The sequence below is a fragment of the Homo sapiens genome, chromosome 17, assembly GCF_000001405.40.
Source record: "Homo sapiens chromosome 17, GRCh38.p14 Primary Assembly".
NCBI lineage: Eukaryota > Metazoa > Chordata > Mammalia > Primates > Hominidae > Homo > Homo sapiens.
Window position 1 is genome coordinate 43078835 of NC_000017.11, and position 20117 is coordinate 43098951.

Sequence of the window (20117 nt, forward strand, 5' to 3'; positions counted from 1 at the left end):
GGGTGATAATTGATAAAGGGTAATGTGCAAGTTCCAAGGAACCATATCAAACGGAATTAACCATTGGAAAGAGTTAAAAAAGTGGCCAGGTGATGTGGCTCACGCCTACAATCCCAGCACTTTGAGAGGCCGAGGTGGACAGATCACCTGAGGTCAGGAGTTTGAGACCAGCCCGGCCAACATGGTGAAACCCTGTCTCTACTAAAAATACAAAAATTAGCTGGGCGTGGTGGCGGGTGCCTGTAATCCCAGCTACCCAGGAGGCTGAGGCGGACATTGTAATGAGCCGAAATCACACCATTGCACTCCAGCCTGGGCAACAAAAGTGAAACTTCATCTCAAACAAAAACAAAACAAAACAAAACAAAAAAAATGAAAGGCAGAGGGAAGGCTCAGATACAAACACAGCTATTAAAAAGTCATTCCTCCTTTTGGCCAGAACCACCATCTTTCAGTAATTTGCCAAAATGACGAACACAAAGGGAAAGAGGAGAGGCACCTGATATATGTTCTCTAGGCCTTTTAGAAAACATGGAGTTGTTCCTTTGGCCATGTATATGCGAATCTGTAAGAAAGGTGAAATTGTAGACATCAAGGGAACGGGTACTGTTCAAAAAGGAATGCCCCACAAGTGTTACCATGGCAAAACTGGAAAAGTCTACAACGTGACCCAGCATGCTGTTGGCATCGCTGTAAACAAGTTAAGGGCAAGATTCTTGCCAAGAGAATTAATGTGCGTATTGAGCACATTAAACACTCTAAGAGCCAAGACAGCTTCCTGAAACGCGTGAAGGAAAATGATCAGAAAAAGAAAGAAGCCAAAGAGAAAGGTACGTGGGTTCAACTGAAGCACCAGCCTGCTCCACCCAGAGAAGCACACTTTGTGAGAACCAATGGGAAGGAGCCTGAGCAGCTGGAACCTATTCCCTATGAATTCATGGCATAATAGGTGTTAAAAAAAAAAAAAAAAGACCTTTGGACTGTAAAAAAAAAGAAAAGTCATTCTATCACCAGAACATTTAGCATATAAATTCCTCTTCTTACTACAATGGGCCTCATGCAATGAAGCAAATAAGATAACTTGTTAGAAGTTAACAACTCAATAGAACCTGAAAAACAGAGCAAAACCTTTCTGCTTTTTTTTCTCCTTAATCCTTAATTCATTCTCTGAACAGCAAGCCCAACCTAAGCCTTGTGACATGATGATCTACTTGCTGGCTGGTTTAGGAAAGTCTAAATGCAGAGATCCAGAGTCCAAGTTTCAGAATATTATTGTAGTTCCTCTTAAATCATTCCCTCATCTAGATGTCTTAACATGTTACATTCTTTGTGGATAGGAAGTATGGGCCACACCAAACATTTAATAAACTTACAGACTGCCCACTGTGTGCTAAGCATTGTACAGGGTATTGTGAAGAATTAAGGAAGACACTGGAAGACAACAGATATTAAGAAATAATAAACTAGGCCAGGCACCGTAGCTCCCAAGTAGGTGGGATTACAGGCATGTGCCACCACGCCCGGCTAATTTTTTGTAGTTTTAGTAGAGATGTGGTTTCTCCATGTTGGTCAGGCTGGTCTCGAGCTCCCGACCTCAGGTGATTCGCCTGCCTTGGCCTCCCAAAGTGCTGGGGTTACAGGCGTGAGCCACCGTACCCGGCAACAATATTCTTTTTACTAGAAGTTCTGGCCAGGTGCCATGGCTCACACCTGTAACCCCAGCACTTTGGGAGGCTGAGGTGAGAGGACTGCTTGAGTCCAGGAGTTTGAGACCAACTTGGGCAACATAGGGAGACCTTGTCTCTACAAAAAATAAAAAAAAAAATTAGCTGGGTATGGTGGTGGACGCCTATAGTCCCAGCTACTTGGGAGGCTAAGGCAGGAGGATCGCTTGAGGAGGTCGAGAGGCTGCAGTGAGCTGTGATTATGCCACTGCCCTCCAGCTTGGGCAACAGAGCAAGACCCTCTCTATAAGGTGAGGCTCAGGTCGGGGAGGATGGCTCAAGATCAGGAGTTCAAGACCAGCCTAGTTAACAGTGCGTCCCTGTCTCTACTTAAAAAAAAAATTAAAGAAAAGAAAAAATTATTTTTAAAAAGTTCATTTGAGTTTCAGTTAGACTCACACCAGATTTAGGGAGAAAAAGGCTCAAAACTTATGTTGGTATTAAGTTGTGATATCCAAAACAATTCAGAAATTAAGCATTTCAGTTACAGATCTCCAGAAAAAAATAAACACACGTATATACCAAAGAGGAGATAGTAGATTTACACAGATATTCAAAGTCACACAATAATAACATTTTAAATCTTACACATTATAATTGAAAGTCTAGTCTGTGTTTAGACTGAAGATGGTGAAAGTACCCTAAAGAAGAGTATTATACTGGGGATGGGACTCTGATCTCTCATTATCTGAGAGATGAACTAAATGAAGATAGTTACAAAGAAAGCATTTAAGGAAATACATTTTGAAGCACTGCCATAGCAACAGAGTTTCTAGCTAGCTTCTTTATCCAAGAGCTACTGTTTCTTCCTGAACACAAAAATACTGCAAGGCACAACTGGGGACCAAAGCCACTGTTCTGTATAAGTAGCAGACTTGAGTTCCTAGAAAGACTCCAAGAAAGGTCTTAAAGTTCCCAGTTGGACTGTGGAACGGGGTGCTGAAGAAGGAACTTTAACACTCAGATAAGAATCACTGAGCTAGGAATGAAGTGTACTTTGGGAGTACTCACCACCCCTGCATGTTTCTAAGCAGCATCCTAGTGGGGACCCCATGCCTAGCATCTCCTATGTGTCTGTTTGTTTGCCCCTATTTAAAAATCTGCCTGATGTATTGTCTTTCCAATTAAAAACTCAAATTTCCATCTCACTTTCCTTCATTTATGCCATTATTCCTCAGCTCAGTGCTCACTTCTTATAGGAAGTCAGCTCTGATCAACTGCATCTGCCTGGTTACTCCAATGGCATCCTCTCAGAGGTCCATCTGGATTTTTTTTGATAACTGTAACATTGCTATAAAGCACTTGACTCTATTGCATAATTAGGCTTTCTGTGTTGTTCTTTTCTTTTCCTTTTGAACTAACAGGAGCTCTACATCACTAGGCTTTCTGTGGATCAAAGTGCAGTTCCTGAAGTATAGGATGTCTCTCCCTATAAATCAGAAGCACATTAAATAGGTCTTTGTGATGTGACACCAGTGTTATAAGGAATATGTCTGAGTACTTTTTCATAGCTTTCTGAAATTATGGGGTTGCCTGTCACCAATTTCTCCCATTCCACTTAGCTTCCAATAGAGCAAGAGCTATGTTGTATACCATGTATCTTCCATGGGCTCCCCATAGCATCTACTTGTTGTAGGTACTCAGATGACAACATGAATGACTGCCTTGGGTCCCTCTGACTGGTATATTAGTTGTGAGCAGGGACAAGAACCAAGGCTCCATAATTACCCATGTGCTGAGCAAGGATCATAAAATGTTGGAGCTAGGTCCTTACTCTTCAGAAGGAGATAAAGGGGAAGGAAAGAATTTTGCTTAAGATATCAGTGTTTGGCCAACAATACACACCTTTTTCTGATGTGCTTTGTTCTGGATTTCGCAGGTCCTCAAGGGCAGAAGAGTCACTTATGATGGAAGGGTAGCTGTTAGAAGGCTGGCTCCCATGCTGTTCTAACACAGCTTCTAGTTCAGCCATTTCCTGCTGGAGCTTTATCAGGTTATGTTGCATGGTATCCCTCTGCTTCAAAAACGATAAATGGCACCAAGAAAATGAAATACTTTGAGAAGCTTTCCATTAAATGAAAATATATCATACAAATTAATTTTAGCACAGGAATTGAAATCACCTAGTATGGAACTACAAGTTCTAGCTGAACACCTTTTAATCTAACCACATTCATGCAATTAATGCCCATGAAATTATTTCCAAATGATGTTAGTGAGGGAAAAAATCCTCAAATTCCCCCAAATAGACTTGATGTTATTGTGATGTCCTTTTGAAGTTGGTTATTTTCTTTTAAAGCTAGGGAGTGAAAAAATAATTAAGGCATTTAAACACTATCGATATTTAAAATTAGCATGAATCTGTTAACATTTTATTTATATGGGCACATTTCAAAGACTTGGTGTTGTGAGATTCATCAGACATTTAGGTTAGTTCATATAAAAATGTGTGATTTTTAGACTGATGTAATGTTGAAAAAAGCCCTCTATCTATGGCATTTTATAAAAATACAACAAATATAAAAATACTATCAGTAATCCTGCCTAGATTACTGGCTTGTGAGGACTCTTCCTTTTCTGGGATTCTTTGAACCTTTAGTTTCTTTTCTTTCTTTCTTTCTTTTTTTTTTTAAGTCTCCCTCTGTCACCCAGGTTGGCACCATCTCGGCTCACTGCAACCTCTTCCTCCCAGGTTCAAGCGATTCTCCCACCTCAGCCTCTCAAGTAGCTGGCATTACAGGTGCTTGCCAAGACGCCCGGCTAATTTTGGTAATTTTTGTAGAAACAGGGTTTTACTATGTTGGCCAGGCTGGTCTTGAACTCCTGACCTCAAGTGATCAGCCCGCCTCGGCCTCCCAAAGTGCTGGGATTAGAGACATGCGCCATTGTGCCTGACCTGAACCTTTAGTTTCTAACAGAAAAAGCAAAAAGCTAATTCATGAATCTATCTGTTTGCTCAGTTAATTAGACAACTATTTACTATCTATTAAGCACCAGGCGCTGTCCTAGTACTGAGGATATAGCCCTCATGGTGCTGCCATTCTAGACAGGGACATCTCATCTAGAATGTGTCCACCTAGAGATCATTAGCAAGGACCTGTGAGAGGGAAGGATCCAACAGAAAGAGCCCTGAGAAAGCCTGTAAGGATAGTTACTGTTTTTAAAATAATGAGTTCTTTTTGCTTATGGGCTCCTGTTGTTTATTGGTCCATTTCAAAGAAGAGTGTGCTAAGTCCAAGTATTTGATAAACAAAGAATTTAGGTATGTAAGGAGTTTTCCAAAATATCCTTCTTAAGAATTTATTTTATTTATTTATTTTTTTTGAGACAGTCTTGCTCTGTTGCCCCAGGCTGGAGTGCAGTGGTGCGATCTTGGCTCACTGCAACCTCCGCCTACCTGGTTCAAGCAATTCTCCCTGCCTCAGCCTCTCAAGTAGCTGGGATTACAGGCACCTGTTACCATGCCCGACTAATTTTTTTTTTTTTTTTTGAGACGGAGTCTCACTTTGTTGCCCAGGCTGGAGTGCAGTGGCGCAATCTTGGTTCACTGCAAGCTCCGCCTCCCAGGTTCAAGCCATTCTTCTGCTTCAGCCTCCTGAGTAGCTGGGATTACAGGCGCCCGCCACCATGCCCAGCTAATTTTTTGTATTTTTAGTAGAAATGGTGTTTCACCGTGTTAGCCAGGATGGTCTGGATCTCCTGACCACATGATCCTCCCGCCTCGGCCTCCCAAAGTGCTGGGATTACAGGCGTGAGCCACCACACCTGGCCTAATTTTTGTATTTTTAGTAGAGACGGGGTTTCACCATGTTGGCCAGGCTGGTCTTGAACTCCTGACCTCAGGTGATCTGCCCGCCTCGGCCTCCCAAAGTGCTGGGATTACAGACGTGAGTCACTGTGCCTGGCTTCAAAATATACATGTTTAAAAATCACTTTTAGAAGGAACAGCAATGGTTGCCAAAAAGTCCAGTGGGGGAGTAGGGCAGGAACACATTGTTTCACTCTCCGTTTCTTCTTCTGATCCTTAAAAATGACTTTGCCCTTTACTAAAAACAAGCCATCTTCTTTCTCCTGCTACACTGAGTTCACAATTTTCAGGAGGTTTTTATGACCAGAAAATGTATTCCTAGCTTCACAAAGGTTTCTACTGCTACTCTAACACTGCTTTGCTGCCAAGGTCTGCAGCAATGCCATTGCCACCACGTGGTACTCGTGAGTAGTTACATCACTGATCAAACCCTAGCCAAAGTCTTGCCTCAGTCAACCTGGAATGAAAGCACATAGATATCTGACCAAAATGCTTCACAGGCTGTATTAGTCACTACTGTCACAACCATCACATCTAACCTCTACGTGGCCATTACATAAATCAGAAAAAGTAGTGGGGTAATTATTAATAGATAACTTTCCTTTGGGTTTCCCAAAGGAATTATTTTTTATAACTTAGACAAATTCCCCAGCAGGTAAGTGGCCAAATACATTAGGGAGAATAAAACCAATAGGTTTCTAAGACTTCTTGATTCTAATTCTGAAGTGCTCCTTCAATTAGCTCTAGCCTTCTACTTCTACTATGCTGCTCTGATCTCTACTTTTAATACAGCTACATTACTGTAGAAGTTCCCTAAAAGCCTTGTTTATCATGTCTTTTTCTTCCATAAAGACCCTTAGTGCTCCATCCTGGCCATCACAGTGAAACACTGGCTGAGGCAGAAGAATCACTTGAACCCAGGTGGCGGAAGTGCAGTGAGCTGAGATCGTGCCACGGCACTCCAGCCTGGGCAACAGAGCAAAACTCTGTCTCAAAAAAAAAAAGAAAAGAAAAAAACCCTTAGTGGTATACCACTGCTGATTTATACTTTTTGAACACTATATAATTGTTAGTCATTACTGCCATTAGGATAAAATTCCTCAACATAGCATTCAAAAGGCCCTTTATACCCTGGTATTATCTCTCATTTCTCCCAACACCCCTCACACAAGTTGTTTTCCTATAACACATGACAACTTTACGTTTCCTGGGAATTCCATGACTCTGTACCTTTACCTTACTTGCTGCCACTCCTCTTTTTCCACTTGGAAAAATTCTCATCTTTCAAGGCCTAGTTTGAATGTCTCCTTAAGTCCCCACCAGGAGGAGTTGTGAAATATGAGAAGTAAGGGCAAGTGGGCAGAATGTGGCTAATTCTAATAAGACTCCTGAAATGTGCAGCAGAGCAGCCGGAACTGGTCTGGAGGGAAGCAGAGTGTATATCTGACCCTTGTTTGTTCACATTCATTACATATAAATATATATATAAAACCTTCCCATAAAACATGTGTATTTAATGAGTTAAAACTATTTCTAATGTTCCTACTACTACATAATAAGCCTAATCCAGATACAAGCTGAAGTCTTAGCACAAATAGTGGCTTTATCATGCTAGTTTTGTCGACATGTTGTGAATATTTTCAAATATACAGAAAACTTGAAGCAACTTTGCAATGAGTGTTTATATATCTACTACTTAGAATCTATAATTAACATTTCCTATATTTATTTTATCACATACATACACACACACACACACACACACACACACACACACACACAGAAGTCCCCACCAATAATCCATCTCCTATCGGGAACAGATGATCTCTCACTACTTGATTTACATTGCTAATGCATTAGTATACCCAAATGGAACACATGACCTTGATAGGAGGAAGCTTCCCTTAATCATATTTGTCTCCCTAATGCCTAGCAGACAGTAAGCACTCAGCAAGTGTTTATTAATGAGAAGATAAATTAATAAATAAGTATAGTTAATCAGTCTTCTGTAAAAACAAACAAAAACCCAGATATCAATGATACCAAATTAGGAATTCTCTATCATCTATATACTTTTTCTCGGTTCAGTACAAAAAGGGAAAAAAAAATCCCACTTCAATAGTTTTTCCTGCCTGTGCTACTTTAGACGTAAGACAGCCTGAAATCTGACTTCAACGGTTTTGGGTAGATGCTTAGTAAAAACACGTTGCAAAATGAATCCTGAACAAATAGACACATCTCTGGGAATAAGATTAGAAATACAGAAAAACAAGGACATTGTATATTGAATGTCAAATATAATACAGTATGGCTAAGGCAGATGTAATCAGAAATTGCAACCTTAAACTTTAAAACACAATGGACAGAATTAGATGATGGGTATATTGACAGAGTCCCAAACCCACATTCAAAAAGGATCATAGGAATTGCAAAGAGAGAAAAGGCCTCCTAAATCTTTTCATCAATTTAGTTGCCATGGCAATCCTGAAGAAGTGGAGAATACTGGTGACAGCTCAGATACAGAGTGGGGAGTCATCTCAAAGGTTTCTTGACAACTCCAAGGGGCTTCAGGTCTAGAGGGATTTGCTCTGTACAGAGAATGGGCAGTAGAAGATAAGCCTTCTCTAATTGTAGTTCTCATAGCAATGCAAGATTTAGATTTTAAAACTGGATATCACCCAGTGTTGGCAAGGTACAGGAAAATGGGAACTATCATATACCACAGGGGCTGGAAGAGCATAAACTGGTTTAATCTTTCTAAAAAACAATTTAGTAACATGTATCAAACACCAAAATCCTAGTCCCAGTAATTTAGACTAAGGAAATAATCAGGGATGTAGGCAAATATTTAGCTATCAGGATGCCACTATAGTGATGTACATAATAGCAAACTGTGCCTCTTACCCTGAAACCTCCAACATTCAGCAATAGGTCAAATAAATCATGATACACTGGAAAGATAGAATCCCATATAGTAATTAAAAATGAAGTCACTTAAGAATTTTAACGACCCAGGCTGAGTGCGGTGGCTCACGCCTGTAACCCCAGCACTTTGGGAGGCCGAGGTGGGTGGATCACTTGAGGCCAGGAGTTTGAGACCAGCCTGGTCAACATGGAGAAACCCTGTCTCTACTAAAAATACAAAGTTAGCTGGGCATGGTGGCACATGCCTGTAATCCCAGCTACTCGGGAGGCTGAGGCAGGAGAATCGCATGAACCCGGGAGGCAGAGGATGCGGTGAGCCAAGGTCACACCACTGCACTCCAGCCTGGGCAACAAGAGTGAAACTCCATCTCAGAAAAAAAAAAAAAAAAAGAAAAAAGAATTTTAATGATCCAGTAAAAGCTAGATTATAATGCACAGAATTATCTGGATTTCTTGTTTTTGAGACAGGGTCTCACCATATCACCCAGGATGGAGTGCAGTGGCACCATCATGGCTCACCACGGCCTCAACTTGCTGGGATCAAGCAATCCTACCCCAGCCACTCAAGTAGCTGAGACTACAGGTGTGCACCACTAAGCCTCACTAATTTTTTTTTTTTTCCCAGACAGGGGTTGCCCAGAACAGAGTGCAGTAGCGTGATCACAACTCACTGCAGCCTTGACCTCCGGGGCTCAGGCAATCTTCCTGCCTCACCCTCCCAAAGTGCTGGGATTACAGGTGTAAGCCACTGTGCCTAGCTTCCTGGATATATTTTAAAGATAAAGTATATACAAGCACCCCTGTGCACACACAGGAATACTAAAAGAATATACACCAATAAATTGCTAACCATTTCTGGATAACACAAATTACAATTAACTTATCATTTTAATCATTTTAAGTGTACAGTTCAGTGGCATTATTTTCACACTGTTGTGTTACCATTGCCACTATCTATCTCCAGAACTTTTTCATCATCCCAAACTGAAATCTGCACTCATCAAACAGTAACTCCCCATTTCCCCCTCCCCAAGTCCCTAGTAACCACTATTCTACCTTCCATCCTATGAATTTATCTTTTTTTTTTTTTTAACTGCTCCTTGTGGAGCAAGGCTTATCTATAGGCAATGTACCCAGAGTAACCAAATGTAACTATTCTAGGTATCTCATATAAGTGGAAGCATATAACATGTGTCCTTTGGTGTCCGGTTTATTTCAGTTAACACAATGTCTTCAAGGTTCGTCCATGGATGATTTTTGTTTATCTGTATTTTCTAAGTTTTCTATGATGCACATATATAACTTTATAAGAATATCAGGCTTTTCTCAACTTCATCTAATCTGACTTCAGAAAGTTCATAAAAAAACATCATTCACTTACTAGCAGCTAAAAGGGTATTTAAGATTTAGGTGGGAAAAAGAAGCCACAGCAGGATGAATCGAGGGGGTCTGAACAGCTTCATTTTAAGAATGTGCCTACGGCAGGTCAGAGAACATAAGCAAACTGTCTAAGATCACATAGCCCAGTACAGAACTCTCACCAATATTATTGCCAGCAACTGCTGTGTGTGTATTCTGCATAGAACCCTGTGCTGGGAATACAAAGAACCAACCTAATTATTAGAAGTTGTCAATTTAGTGGGAGATAAATAAATGAAAAAAATAAACTGAGATGAGCCTGAATTTTTGCATGAGAACTTGGAAAATTTTGGTGCCACTTCTACAAATAAAAATTAGGAGGCCAGGCCTGGTGGCTCACGCCTGTAATCTCAGCACTTTGGGAGGCTGAGACGGGTGGATTATTTGAGGTCAGGAGTTCGAGACGAGCCTGGCCAACATGGTGAAACCCTCTCTCTACTAAAAAAATACAAAAAAATGAGCTGGGTGTGGTGGCAGTCACCTGTAATCCCAGCTACTTAGAAGGCTGAAGCACGAAAATCACTTGATCCTGAACCTGGGAGCTGAAGGTTGCAGTGAGCCAAAATTGTGCCACTGCATTCCAGCCTGGGTGACAGAGCAAAACTCCATCTCAAAAAAAAAAATTAGGAGAAAGAGCCTGGTTCTATGATGAAGATGATATTCATTTTTAGACGTTGTGATACAGAATGTTTTTTCTAGACTATTCTGCCTTTAGTACATAAACATTTCATATTACATTATCAAATGGTCATATATATGGTAAAGCTTTTATTTATTTCATAGGTGACCAAATTATTGGCCTTGACCATTAGGTCCAGAAAGTAAAATTGTGTACTTTCTTTTTTTTTTTTTTTGAGATGGAGTTTCACTCTTGTTGCCCAGGCTGGAGAGCAGCAGCATGATCTCAGCTCACTGCAACCTCCGCCTCCTGGGTTCAAGTGATTCTCCTGCTTTAGCCTCCCATCTTTCTTTTTTTTAAAGAAAAAAGATGATTTATGAGCAATTAAAAAAAAAATAGGCCAGGCGTGGTTGCACACACCTGTAATCCCAGCATTTTGGGAGGCTGAGGTGGGATCACTTGAGCCCAGGATTTTGAGACCAGCCTGGGCAACATAGTGAGATGTTGTCTCTAGTAAAAACTTAAAAATTAGCTGGAGGTGTTGGTGGGCGCCTGTGGTCCCAGCTACTCGGGAAGCTGAGGTAGGAGGATCGCTTGAGCCCAGGAAGTCAAAGCTACAGTGAACCATGACTGCACTACTCCATTCCAGCCTGGGTAACAGAGTAAGAGACCCTGTGTCAAAGAAACCAAAAAGAAAAAAATAACTAGATTTTAAAAGGGAAAAAAAAAAAGAAGAAGAGAAAGAAGTATCCACAAAACAGTGAAAGGCTAGATGGTCTCTATTAGGAAGAGAACCCTATAGTCTCCAACTTGGTACCAAGAATAAACACCAAAATTGCGATTGCTGGCAATAATATTGGTGAGAGTTCTGTACCTGGCTGTGTGGCCTTAGGCAGTTTGCTTACCTTCTCTGACCTGCAGTAGGCATATTCTTAAAATGGAGCTATGCAGAGTCCCTTGAATCATCCTGCTGTGGCTCCTTTTTCTCACCTCTCTTGATACAGTAAGTGCCGTCATGTTTTTGCTATAGGGGAAATGATGTGTTTTTGTTTGTTTGTTTTTGAGATGGAGTCTCACTTTGTCACCCAGGCTGGAGTGCAGTGGTACAATCCCAGCTCAGTGCAACCTCCGCCTCCCAGGTTCAGGCGATTCTCCTGTCTCAGCCTCCAGAATAGCTGGGATTACAAGGCATTGGCCACCACGCCCAGCTAATTTTTGTATTTTTAGTAGATGTGGGGTTTCACCATGTTGGCCAGGCTGGTCTCAAACTTCTGACCTGAGGTGATCCACCCACCTTGGCCTCCCAAAGTGCTGGGATTAGCAAATGGGTTTCGAAGGTTTAGCTTATTCATTAAAATCAGTATTTAGTATGCTACAATGAGCTAGGCAGTGTATGTGTAGGCTGTGTGTGCGCGTGTGCGTGTGTGTGAAATAAAAGGTAGTATGAGTTCCATCAAGGTGCTTACAGTCTAATTTAAGGAGACAATGAACCACAAACAATTGTGCCATTAATTCAAAGAGATGATGTCAGCAAACCTAAGAATGTGGGATACATACTACTGAATGCAAAGGACACCACACACACGCATGTGCACACACACACACGCTTTTTACCTGAGTGGTTAAAATGTCACTCTGAGAGGATAGCCCTGAGCAGTCTTCAGAGACGCTTGTTTCACTCTCACACCCAGATGCTGCTTCACCTTAAATAACAAAAACAGAGGTTCAGATGTAAAAGCAGACTATAAACGCTGCAACTTGCTGTGTCTTTTTCTTCTCATTGGCAGGACTGGATTTACTTTCATGTCACACAAAATGATTAAATTCCTTGCTTTGGGACACCTGGATTTGCTTTTATAAAATGAAACCAGAAGTAAGTCCACCAGTAATTAGGATGTTAAAGCTCATTCAGTCAAAGATGACGTCCTAGCTGTGTGAAGGACTTTTTTCTATGAAAAGCACCTTAGGAGGAACATGTTTCAAGTTTAAGAAGCAGTTCCTTTAACTATACTTGGAAATTTGTAAAATGTGCTCCCCAAAAGCATAAACATTTAGCTCACTTCTATAAATAGACTGGGGCAAACACAAAAACCTGGTTCCAATACCTAAGTTTGAATCCATGCTTTGCTCTTCTTGATTATTTTCTTCCAAGCCCGTTCCTCTTTCTTCATCATCTGAAACCAATTCCTTGTCACTCAGACCAACTCCCTGGCTTTCAGACTGATGCCTCATTTGTTTGGAAGAACCAATCAAGAAAGGATCCTGGGTGTTTGTATTTGCAGTCAAGTCTTCCAATTCACTGCACTGTGAAGAAAACAAGCTAGCAGAACATTTTGTTTCCTCACTAAGGTGATGTTCCTGAGATGCCTTTGCCAATATTACCTGGTTACTGCAGTCATTTAAGCTATTCTTCAATGATAATAAATTCTCCTCTGTGTTCTTAGACAGACACTCGGTAGCAACGGTGCTATGCCTAGTAGACTGAGAAGGTATATTGTTTACTTTACCAAATAACAAGTGTTGGAAGCAGGGAAGCTCTTCATCCTCACTAGATAAGTTCTCTTCTGAGGACTCTAATTTCTTGGCCCCTCTTCGGTAACCCTGAGCCAAATGTGTATGGGTGAAAGGGCTAGGACTCCTGCTAAGCTCTCCTTTCTGGACGCTTTTGCTAAAAACAGCAGAACTTTCCTTAATGTCATTTTCAGCAAAACTAGTATCTTCCTTTATTTCACCATCATCTAACAGGTCATCAGGTGTCTCAGAACAAACCTGAGATGCATGACTACTTCCCATAGGCTGTTCTAAGTTATCTGAAATCAGATATGGAGAGAAATCTGTATTAACAGTCTGAACTACTTCTTCATATTCTTGCTTTTTTATTTCAGGATGCTTACAATTACTTCCAGGAAGACTTTGTTTATAGACCTCAGGTTGCAAAACCCCTAATCTAAGCATAGCATTCAATTTTGGCCCTCTGTTTCTACCTAGTTCTGCTTGAATGTTTTCATCACTGGAACCTATTTCATTAATACTGGAGCCCACTTCATTAGTACTGGAACCTACTTCATTAATATTGCTTGAGCTGGCTTCTTTAAAAACATTTTCTCTAATGTTATTACGGCTAATTGTGCTCACTGTACTTGGAATGTTCTCATTTCCCATTTCTCTTTCAGGTGACATTGAATGTTCCTCAAAGTTTTCCTCTAGCAGATTTTTCTTACATTTAGTTTTAACAAATGACTTGATGGGAAAAAGTGGTGGTATACGATATGGGTTTTGTAAAAGTCCATGTTTATTTGGAGTAATGAGTCCAGTTTCGTTGCCTCTGAACTGAGATGATAGACAAAACCTAGAGCCTCCTTTGATACTACATTTGGCATTATCAACTGGCTTATCTTTCTGACCAACCACAGGAAAGCCTGCAGTGATATTAACTGTCTGTACAGGCTTGATATTAGACTCATTCTTTCCTTGATTTTCTTCCTTTTGTTCACATTCAAAAGTGACTTTTGGACTTTGTTTCTTTAAGGACCCAGAGTGGGCAGAGAATGTTGCACATTCCTCTTCTGCATTTCCTGGATTTGAAAACGGAGCAAATGACTGGCGCTTTGAAACCTTGAATGTATTCTGCAAATACTGAGCATCAAGTTCACTTTCTTCCATTTCTATGCTTGTTTCCCGACTGTGGTTAACTTCATGTCCCAATGGATACTTAAAGCCTTCTGTGTCATTTCTATTATCTTTGGAACAACCATGAATTAGTCCCTTGGGGTTTTCAAATGCTGCACACTGACTCACACATTTATTTGGTTCTGTTTTTGCCTTCCCTAGAGTGCTAACTTCCAGTAACGAGATACTTTCCTGAGTGCCATAATCAGTACCAGGTACCAATGAAATACTGCTACTCTCTACAGATCTTTCAGTTTGCAAAACCCTTTCTCCACTTAACATGAGATCTTTGGGGTCTTCAGCATTATTAGACACTTTAACTGTTTCTAGTTTCTCTTCTTTTTCTTCTCTTGGAAGGCTAGGATTGACAAATTCTTTAAGTTCACTGGTATTTGAACACTTAGTAAAAGAACCAGGTGCATTTGTTAACTTCAGCTCTGGGAAAGTATCGCTGTCATGTCTTTTACTTGTCTGTTCATTTGGCTTGTTACTCTTCTTGGCTCCAGTTGCAGGTTCTTTACCTTCCATGAGTTGTAGGTTTCTGCTGTGCCTGACTGGCATTTGGTTGTACTTTTTTTTCTTTATCTCTTCACTGCTAGAACAACTATCAATTTGCAATTCAGTACAATTAGGTGGGCTTAGATTTCTACTGACTACTAGTTCAAGCGCATGAATATGCCTGGTAGAAGACTTCCTCCTCAGCCTATTCTTTTTAGGTGCTTTTGAATTGTGGATATTTAATTCGAGTTCCATATTGCTTATACTGCTGCTTATAGGTTCAGCTTTCGTTTTGAAAGCAGATTCTTTTTCGAGTGATTCTATTGGGTTAGGATTTTTCTCATTCTGAATAGAATCACCTTTTGTTTTATTCTCATGACCACTATTAGTAATATTCATCACTTGACCATTCTGCTCCGTTTGGTTAGTTCCCTGATTTATCATTTCAGGAGTCTTTTGAACTGCCAAATCTGCTTTCTTGATAAAATCCTCAGGATGAAGGCCTGATGTAGGTCTCCTTTTACGCTTTAATTTATTTGTGAGGGGACGCTCTTGTATTATCTGTGGCTCAGTAACAAATGCTCCTATAATTAGATTTTCAGTTACATGGCTTAAGTTGGGGAGGCTTGCCTTCTTCCGATAGGTTTTCCCAAATATTTTGTCTTCAATATTACTCTCTACTGATTTGGAGTGAACTCTTTCACTTTTACATATTAAAGCCTCATGAGGATCACTGGCCAGTAAGTCTATTTTCTCTGAAGAACCAGAATATTCATCTACCTCATTTAGAACGTCCAATACATCAGCTACTTTGGCATTTGATTCAGACTCCCCATCATGTGAGTCATCAGAACCTAACAGTTCATCACTTCTGGAAAACCACTCATTAACTTTCTGAATGCTGCTATTTAGTGTTATCCAAGGAACATCTTCAGTATCTCTAGGATTCTCTGAGCATGGCAGTTTCTGCTTATTCCATTCTTTTCTCTCACACAGGGGATCAGCATTCAGATCTACCTTTTTTTCTGTGCTGGGAGTCCGCCTATCATTACATGTTTCCTTACTTCCAGCCCATCTGTTATGTTGGCTCCTTGCTAAGCCAGGCTGTTTGCTTTTATTACAGAATTCAGCCTTTTCTACATTCATTCTGTCTTTAGTGAGTAATAAACTGCTGTTCTCATGCTGTAATGAGCTGGCATGAGTATTTGTGCCACATGGCTCCACATGCAAGTTTGAAACAGAACTACCCTGATACTTTTCTGGATGCCTCTCAGCTGCACGCTTCTCAGTGGTGTTCAAATCATTATTACTGGGTTGATGATGTTCAGTATTTGTTACATCCGTCTCAGAAAATTCACAAGCAGCTGAAAATATACAAAAATAACAAGGTACTCAAAAACTGAATTGTCATTAAAAAAATACATACTTCATACACCTTGGAGGTGGAAATCAACCAACTGGCTATATTAGAGAAACTAACCTCATAAACTACCAAGTATACTGAAGATGTAGCTCATACTCTTTCATTTAATTCCTATTTACCTAGATTATTTCCACTTAGGATCCATTAAATTTTTAATTTCAGAATTTTCCCTATGCAGAAACCACACCTATTTCTCTAACGTCTAAGAGTGAATTAAAAGCAGATTGGCCATCAGAAAACTGGTTCTGATGTACTCTAAAGATTACTGGCCATTAAGTCTACTTAATACTCTGTTCTATCTACAGACTTACCACTCCCTATATTTAAAAACCAGTAGGTAAAAGATGAAACACAAATACACCAATTAAAAGTAAAGGGCAGGCCAGGCACAGTGGCTCAAGCCTGTAACTGCAGCACTTTGGGAGGCTGAAGTGGGCAGACTGCTTGAGTCCAGGAGTTTGAGACCAGCCTCGGTAACATGGTGAAACCCCATCTCTATAAAACCACAAAAAATTAACCGGGTGTGGTGGCATGCGCCTGTAGTCCCAGCTACTCAGGAGGCTGAAGTGGGAGGATAGCTTGAGCCTTGGAGGTGGAGGTTGCAGTGAGCCAAGATTGCATCACTGCACTCCAGCCTGGGCAACAGAGTGAGACCCCATCTCAAAAAAAAACAAACAAACAAACAAAAAAAAAAACGAAAGGGCAACAATCAGTTACAGAAGGTCTTATTATAGGTACATTAGTCTAGTACCATTTAAATCTATCAGACCATACCACGACATTTGACAGAGAATGATACTCTAACTCTGCCAAGAGATTTTGTGGGTTGTAAAGGTCCCAAATGGTCTTCAGAATAATCTAATTACAGTACTGTATCTACCCACTCTCTTTTCAGTGCCTGTTAAGTTGGCAAACTTTGCCATTACCCTTTTTTGCAGAATCCAAACTGATTTCATCCCTGGTTCCTTGAGGGGTGATTTGTAACAATTCTTGATCTCCCACACTATAGGGAAAAGACAGAGTCCTAATAAGAAACACTAGTTACATGTATGCAGAACTGTCAAATGACCAAGATCAAACATTTTAGCTCTTTCGATTACAGAAAGCTGACCAATCTTATTTAGTTAGTGAAAGCTGCTCTCTCCTTTAGAAACTTCTAGTTGAAATGAAATGGTTGCTGGGCACGGTGGCTCAAGCCTGTAATTCCAGCACTTTGGGAGGCTGAGGCGGGTGGACCACTTGAGGTCATGAGTTCAAGACCAGCCTGGCCAACATGGTGAAACCCCATCTCTACTAAAAATACAAAAATTAGCCGGGTGTGGTGGCGCGCGCCTGTAGTCCCAGCTACTAGAGAGGCTGAGGCAGGAGTATGGCTTCAACCTGGGAGGCAGACGTTGCGGAGAGGTGAGATCACACCTCTGTACTCCAGCCTGGGCAACAGAGCAAGACTCTGTCTCAAAAAAAAAAAAAAAAAAGAGAGAAAGAAAGAAATGGAATGGTCAATTAACCGGGCGTGGTGGTGTATACCTGTAGTCCCAGCTACTCGTGAGATTGAGACAGGAGAATCGCTTGAACCAGGGAGTTGGAGATTGCAGTGAGCCGAGATGGCGCCACTACACTCCATCCTGGCAACAGGGCAAGACCCCGTCTCCAAAAAAAAAAAAAAAAAAACCTGGGTCAAGCAATAATTCCTAAGGAAGGTAGGTAACATAGTTGGGGTTGCTTGTAGTTTATTATATAACATACAGACAAAGCTTGAGAGATATGTGGAAATAAGGAACAGAGGAAAGAAAGAGTTGAAAATGAAGTCCTTGAACATTTTCATCAGTCACAATTACTGCTGTGTCAATATTACTGTATATGAGGAACTTAGAGAACAATCTGCTAGAAGCAAGCATGTGCAGAGTTCTACTGTTATCCTAAATTCCTTTGGACAGTGCTAATAACTAAATCCAACAAACAAAAAGGGTATTTCCTCCACTATAAAATGAGAGAACTAAACTAGATGATCTCTAAGGTTTCTTCCAATACCATGATTCTAGTCTGGAGAAACACCAGCCTACTTGAGGGAGGAAGGTGGGAAGAGGGAGAAATTCAGAAAGAAAGCAAACAAAAAACTGTGGGGTATGCTTAGTACCCGGATGATGAAAAAAATCTATACACCAAATCCCAAGTCGTGTGTTTACCTATATAACAAACTGCACATACATCCCTGAACCTAAAATAAAAGTTAAAATATTTTTAAAAAGAGAGAAACATCAATCCTTAATATTAACTAAATAGGAAAATACCAGCTTCATAGACAAAGGTTCTCTTTGACTCACCTGCAATAAGTTGCCTTATTAACGGTATCTTCAGAAGAATCAGATCCTAAAAAATTTCCCCCCAAAAAATAAATCAATAAAAGTTTTCTTAATTAAAAGGGTTAAAAAAATGTACTTGTTGAAAAACAGATATTCAACTAGAAATATTTACTGAGCATCTACTGTGGCAGGTACAATGCTAGTTAAGCTAGTATGTAATACAGAGAAGTGGTTAAAGGCATGGGCTTCGCCAGGCACAGTGGCTCTCACCTGTAATCCCAGCACTTGAGGAGGCCGAGATGGGTGGATTATTTGAGGTTAGGAGTTCAAGACCAGCCTGGCCAACAAAGTGAGACCCCCGTTTCTACTGAAAACAAAAACAAAAACAAAAAAAAAGCACAGGCTCTGACATCTAACTTCCTAGGTTTGAATCATGGCTCAGCCACTTACTAGGTTTAATACCTTGGAAAAATTTCATAACTTCTCTGTGCCTTAATTTTCTCATCTGTAAAATAAGTATAATAGGAACAATCTCAGAGGTCTGACAAGCATCTAATGAGTTATACAAGAAAAGCACAATAGTGCCTGGAATATAGTTAAGTGCTCCTAAATATCAACTACTATAACTATTTTTACAATGCCTGTTGTCTAGGAATTTATGATCATAAGGGGGGAAAACAGTAAGTGTTATGATAAATAGATGGTGGTGCCTGGGAGCTCAAAAGATGGCTATCCTTTTTAATTATAAATATATTCTAAAAGAAAATCCAATTTGAGAGCCCAGTTTGAATTCTGAGCTCAGCAGCTCTTTTTTTTTTTTTTTTGGAGGTCTTGCTCTGTCACCCAGGTTGGAGTGCAGTGGCATGATCATAGCTCACTACAGCCTCAAACTCCTGGGTTCAATGTATCCACTCACCTCTGCCTCCTGAGTAGCTGGGACTACAGATGCACACCACCACACCCAGCTAATTTAAAAAAGAAATTTTTTTGTAGAGATGAGGTCTTGCTATGTTGCCCAGGCTGGTCTCAAACTCCTGGCTTCAAGCAATCCTCTGCCACTGCTGAGATTACAGATGTGAGCTACTATGCTGGCCTCAACTTTTCTTTTTATAAGCTTAAAAAAATTTATTATTTTTAAAAATTATTATTTTTTTGAGATGCAGTCTCACTCTATTGCCCAGGCTGGAGTGCAGTGGTGTAGTGTTGGCTCATTGTAACCTCCGCCTCCCTGGTTCAAGCGATTCTCCTGCCTCAGCCTCCCAAGTAGCTGGGATTACAAGCATGTGCTACCACACCCAGCTAATTTTTTTTTTTTTTTGTATTTTTAGTAAAGAGGGGTTTCACCAGGTTATCCAGGCTGGTCTCGAACTCTGACCTCAGGTGATCTACCTGCCTCAGCCTCCCAAAGTATTGGGATTACAGGCATGAGCCACCGCACCGGCCAAAAATGTATTATTATTTTAAAAATAGAGACAGGGTTCCCCTATGTTGGCCAGGCTGGTCTTAAACTCGTGGACTCAACCAATCCTTCTGCCTCGGTCTTCCAAAGCGTTAGGATTACAGGCACGAGCCATCCTGCCCAGCCAAGATTCAGCTCTTTTTTTTTTTTTTTGAGATGGAGTTTCACTCTTGTTGCCTAGGCTGGAGTGCAATGGTGCGATCTTGGCTCACTGCAACCTCTGCTTCCTGGGTTCAAGCGATTCTCCTGCCTCAGCCTCCTGAGTAGCTG

The 20117-nt window shown here is 40.7% G+C and overlaps 1 protein-coding gene and 1 pseudogene across 368 annotated transcripts in view, besides 1 other annotated feature; one reads left to right on the plus strand and one right to left on the minus strand.

Annotated features, from left to right (window-relative positions):
* The window catches only part of BRCA1 (BRCA1 DNA repair associated), a 126033-nt gene that overhangs the window by 34540 nt on the left and 71376 nt on the right, over nt 1-20117 (minus strand). For 114 of the 368 annotated variants that reach the window (NM_001407959.1, NM_001407747.1, NM_001407962.1 and 111 more), the window contains 5 exons: nt 18410-18455; nt 17012-17088; nt 12601-16026; nt 12110-12198; nt 3570-3741 (listed from right to left, as the gene is read on the minus strand). In NM_001407959.1, coding sequence (NP_001394888.1) covers nt 3570-3741; nt 12110-12198; nt 12601-16026; nt 17012-17088; nt 18410-18455 — 3810 coding nt within the window. Of the gene's footprint in view, nt 1-499; nt 566-3569; nt 3742-12109; nt 12199-12600; nt 16027-17011; nt 17089-18409; nt 18456-20117 lie in introns of all 368 variants that reach the window. The other 254 variants (NM_001408458.1, NM_001408510.1, NM_001408453.1 and 251 more) reach the window with 17 other exon arrangements.
* RPL21P4 (ribosomal protein L21 pseudogene 4) lies at nt 427-982 on the plus strand (annotated as a pseudogene).
* Nucleotides 12285-13484: an enhancer, noted in NCBI's record as "BRD4-independent group 4 enhancer chr17:41243136-41244335 (GRCh37/hg19 assembly coordinates)". NCBI's record gives its function as "activates an origin of replication core promoter dependent on BRD2, P300/CBP, MED14 and CDK7 cofactors, and independent of BRD4, by STARR-seq in HCT116 cells {active_cell/tissue: HCT116}" and the evidence as "EXISTENCE:reporter gene assay evidence [ECO:0000049][PMID:35650434]".